Here is a 5,163-nt window from a genome sequence, read left to right on the forward strand (position 1 = left end):
AATCCCAGTACTTTGGGAGGCTAGGGTAGGCAGATCACCTGAGGTTAGGAGTTGGAGACTAGCCTGGCCAACATGGCAAAACTCCGTATCTACTAAAAATACAAAAATTAGCCAGGCATCATGGCGTGCGCCTGTATTCCCAGCTGTTTGGGAGGCTGAGGCATGAGAACCACTTTTACCAGGGAGGCAGAGGTTGCAGTGAGCTGAGATCGTGTGCCACTGCACTCCAGCCTGGGCGACAGAGACTCTGTCTCAGAAATAAATAAATAAAGACAAAATCAAAATTAATCCTCTCCAGTGCTTAAGGTTTTATTCTATAATTTGAAGTTTTTAAACATAAAAGTGTTTAAACTTTTATGTTTCAAAGTGTTCAAGTGTTTCTGAACATGAGAGTAGAAAAATGCATTATCTTAGTATGGGAAAGATGTTTCTAAACATTGTAAAAACTAAAGAAGCAGTGTAAGAAAATAGTGCCAAATTTGATTATACACAAATTTTAGGCCAGGTATGGTGGCTCATGCCTGTAATCCCAGCACTTCAGGAGGCTAAGGCACGAGGATAACTTGAGCCCAGGAGTTTGAGACTGCAAGACCTCCTCTCTACAAAAAATAGCAAATTGGCTAGGGCATGATGTTATGTGCCTGGGACCTCATTTACTTGGAACGCTGAGGTGGGTGGATTGCTTGAGCCCTAGAGGTTGAGGACACAGTGAGCTGATGATTGCACCACTGCAGGAAAATAAATACCATAAACAAAATAAAAACCGAAATAAAAAATTGGTTAAAAATTTTGCTACATATGTGACAACAGACTAATATTCTTCAACATGTAAGGAGTTCCTGTAAATCAAGGAAAAAAGACAAAATCCAAATAGATTAGACCACAACATGGACAATTTACAAGAAATAAATTTCCAATTTTTTTTGTTTTATTCTCTTAACAGCTTTTTTGAGATACATTTCATGTACTATATACTTTACTCATTTAAATCATACAATTCAGCTTTTATATATTCATACTTATGCATCTATTATCATAATCAATTTTGGAATATTTTTATTACTCCAGAAAGAAATGTAAGCACTTGACAAGTTCTTCCTGCCCATTGTGTAACTGCCCAGCGGGTTCACCTTGCCCTCTGCCTAGACAGAGCTGATTTATTAAGACAGGGGAATGGCAATACAGAAAGAGTAATTCACTCAGAGCCAGCTGTCCAGGAGACTAGAGTGTTATTATTACTCAAATCAGTCTCCCTGAGCATTCAGGGAGCAGAGTTTTTAAGGACAATTTTGTGGGTTGGGAAAAGCCGGTGAGCTGGGAGTGCTGATTGGTAGGGGATGAAATCACTGGGAGTGAGAGCTGTCTTCTTGGACTGAGTCAGTTCCTGGTTGGGGAAAATAAGATCAGATGAGCCAGTTTATTGATCTGGGTGGAGCCAGCTGACACATCAAGTGCAGGGTCTGCAAAATATCTCAAGCTCTGATCTTAGGAGCAACTTAGAGAGGGTCAGAATCTTGTAGCCTCCAGCTGCATGACTCCTAAACCATAATTTCTAATCTTATGGCTAACGTTAGTCCTACAAAGGCAGTCTAGTCCCCAGGCAAGAAGGAGGTCTGCTTTGGGAAAAGGACTATTAGGGTCTTTGTTTTAAACTATAAACTTTAAACTATAAACTATAAATTAAGTTTTTCCCAAAGTTAGTTCAGCCTACCCCCAGGAATGAACAAGGACAGCTTGGAGATTAGAAGCAAGATGGAGTTGGTTAGGTTAGATCTCTTTCACTGTCTCAGTCATAATTTTACAAAGATGGTTTCAATTGCAAAGACAAAATTATAATAATTCACTGAGACCACGAAATTGCAGTAAAGGAAGACTTCAATTGATGTGAGGCTGGTCACATCACATGAGAGACGGAGTTACTACTCAAATCAATATTACCAAAGGCTTAAAGGTTAGGGTGTTTTAAAGATAGTTCGGTGGGCAGGGAGTGAGGTTATAGGTGCTGATGATTGGTTGAGGATTCAATCATAGGGGTATGGAAAATGATCCTTATGTCTGAGTCGGCTTCTTGGTGGGTGCCCCAGGACTGGCTGAGTCATGGGCCTGGGTGGGGCTATCTAGTAGTAAAAAATGCAAAGTCTGGAAAGACATTTCAAAACGCCAATCTTAGGGTCTACGTAGTGATGTTATTTACAGGAATAATTGGGGAAGTTGCTAATCTTGTGACCTCTGGAATAATGTCTGGTAGCCATTTAAGTAATTTTGCAAAGGCAGTTTCAGAAACCATGTACTCCTTAGCCATTACCCCTCAATTCCCCATTCCCCCCAGTCCTAGGCATCAATATAATTTGTCTCTATGAATTTGTCTTTCAATTCATGAATATAGGATGCTTTTAAACTTATTTTGGACTTTAATTACCTTCAACATTATTTTATTCTTTTGGAATCTGTTATAAGTAGAATTGTTTTCTTAACTTCATTTTCAGTTTGTTCATTGCTACTGTATAGAAATACAACTGATTTTTATATATTGATCATACATCCTAAAACCTTGCTGAACTCATTTATTAGTTCTAAGAGTTTTTTTTTTTTTTTTTTTTTGAGACAGAGTTTCGCTCTTGTTGCCCAGGCTGGAGTGCAATGGCACTATCTCCTGAGTAGCTGTGATTACAGGCATGTGCCACCACACACGGCTAATTTTGTATTTTTAGTAGAGATGGGGTTTCTCCGTGTTGGTCAGGCTGGTCTCGAACTCCTGACCTCAGGTGATCCGCCTGCCTCAGCCTCCCAAAGTGCTGGGATTACAGGCATGAGCCACCGCATCTGGCCTGTTAGTTCTAAGAGTTTTTTAGAGGATTCCTTAGGAACAAATTACTTTTAAATATATGAAAAGAGATCAACTTCTCCTATACTAATAAGATAAATGCAAATCCAGATTACCACAGGATATGATAAATTCACCTACTAAATTGGCAGATCTAAAATTTTGATATCATTGTGTAGATGATATCATTGTGTAGGTGTTGTATCTATTAAGACAAATACTCATACTTTGTCTTCAGAATTCTGAAACCGCCATTGCAAAAGTATAACCGAGACAGTAGAAGAGATCTAACCTAAGACTATACTTTCAGGGATCATTTCTATAGTTCGTTACTAAAGAAGTTTCTCTGAACGTGTAGAGCACCGGTACAAACAAATGGAAGAACATTCCATGCTCATGGATAGGAAGAATCAATATCGTGAAAATGGCCATACTGCCCAAGGTAATTTATAGATTCAATGCCATCCCCATCAAGCTACCAATGACTTTCTTCACAGAATTGGAAAAAACTACTTTAAAGTTCATATGGAACCAAAAAAGACCCCGCATTGCCAAGTCAATCCTAAGCCAAAAGAACAAAGCCGGAGGCATCACACTACCTGACTTCAAACTATACTACAAGGCCACAGTAATCAAAACAGAATGGTACTGGTACCAAAACAGAGATATAGACCAATGGAACAGAACAGAGCCCTCAGAAGTAATACCACACATCTACAACTATCTGATCTTTGATAAACCTGACAAAAACAAGCAATGGGGAAAGGATTCCCTATTTAATAAATGGTGCTGGGAAAACTGGCTAGCCATATGTAGAAAGCTGAAACTGGATCCCTTCCTTACACCTTATACAAAAATTAATTCTAGATGGATGGATTAAAGACTTAAATGTTAGACCTAAAACCATAAAAACCCTAGAAGAAAACCTAGGCAATACCATTCAGGACATAGGCATGTGCAAGGACTTCATGTCTAAAACACCAAAAGCAATGGCAACAAAAGCCAAAATTGACAAATGGGATCTAATTAAACTAAAGAGCTTCTGCACAGCAAAAGAAACTACCATCAGAGTGAACAGGCAACCTACAGAATGGGAGAAAATTTTTGCAATCTACTCATCTGACAAAGGGCTAACATACAGAATCTACAAAGAACTCAAACAAACTTACAAGGAAAAAACCACCCCATCAAAAAGTGGGCGAAGAATATGACAGACACTTCTCAAAAGAAGATATTTATGCAGCCAAAAGACACATGAAAAAATGCTCATCATCACTGGCCATCAGAGAAATGCAAATCAAAACCACAATGAGATACCATCTCACACCAGTTAGAATGGCGATCATTAAAAAGTCAGGAAACAACAGGTGCTGGAGAGGATGTGGAGAAATAGGAACACTTTTACACTGTTGGTGGGACTGTAAACTAGTTCAACCATTGTGGAAGTCAGTGTGGCAATTCCTCAGGGATCTAGAACTAGAAATACCATTTGACCCAGCCATCCCATTACTGGGTATATACCCAAAGGATTATAAATCATGCTGCTATAAAGACACATGAACACGTATGTTTATTGCAGCACTATTCACAGTAGCAAAGACTTGGAACCAACCCAAATTTCCAACGATAGATTAAATTAAGAAAATGTGGCACATATACACCATGGAATACTATGCAGCCATAAAAAATGACGAGTTCATGTCCTTGTAGGGACATGGATGAAGCTGGAAACCATCATTCTCAGCAAACTATTGCAAGGACAAAAAACCAAACACTGCATGTTCTCACTCATAGGTGGGAACTGAACAATGAGAACACTTGGACACAGGAAGGGGAACATCACACACCAGGGCCTGTCGTGGGGTGGGGGGAGGGGGGAGGGATAGCATTAGGAGATACACTTAATGTAAATGACGAGTTAATGGGTGCAGCACAGCAACATGGCACATGTATCCATATGTAACAAACCTGCACGTTGTGCACATGTACCCTAGAACTTAAAGTATAATAAAAAACAAAAACAAACAAACAAACAAAAAAAAAAAATATATATATATATATATATATATATATATAGAGAGAGAGAGAGAGAGAGAGAGAGAGAGAGAGAGAGAGATCTAACCTAACTAGCTCCATCTTGCTTCTAACCTCCAAGCTGTCCTTGTTCATTCCTGGGGGTAGGCTGAACTAACTTTGGGAATAACTTAGTTTATAGTTTGAAGCAAAGATGTTAACAGCCCTTTCCCAAAACAAACTCCCTTCTTGCCTGGGAACTAGACTGTCTTTGTAGGACTAACGAATTAGTCAAAAGATTAGAAATTATGGTTTAGGAGTCATGC

The 5,163-nt window shown here is 39.0% G+C and overlaps 1 pseudogene; it reads left to right on the top strand.

The window, feature by feature from the left end:
* Positions 1 to 3,118: 3,118 nt before the first annotated feature.
* Positions 3,119 to 3,202, top strand: LOC124902359 (uncharacterized; annotated as a pseudogene).
* The last annotated feature ends 1,961 nt before the right edge of the window (positions 3,203 to 5,163 follow it).

This window comes from Homo sapiens, chromosome 9, assembly GCF_000001405.40.
Source record: "Homo sapiens chromosome 9, GRCh38.p14 Primary Assembly".
NCBI classification, from domain to species: domain Eukaryota; kingdom Metazoa; phylum Chordata; class Mammalia; order Primates; family Hominidae; genus Homo; species Homo sapiens.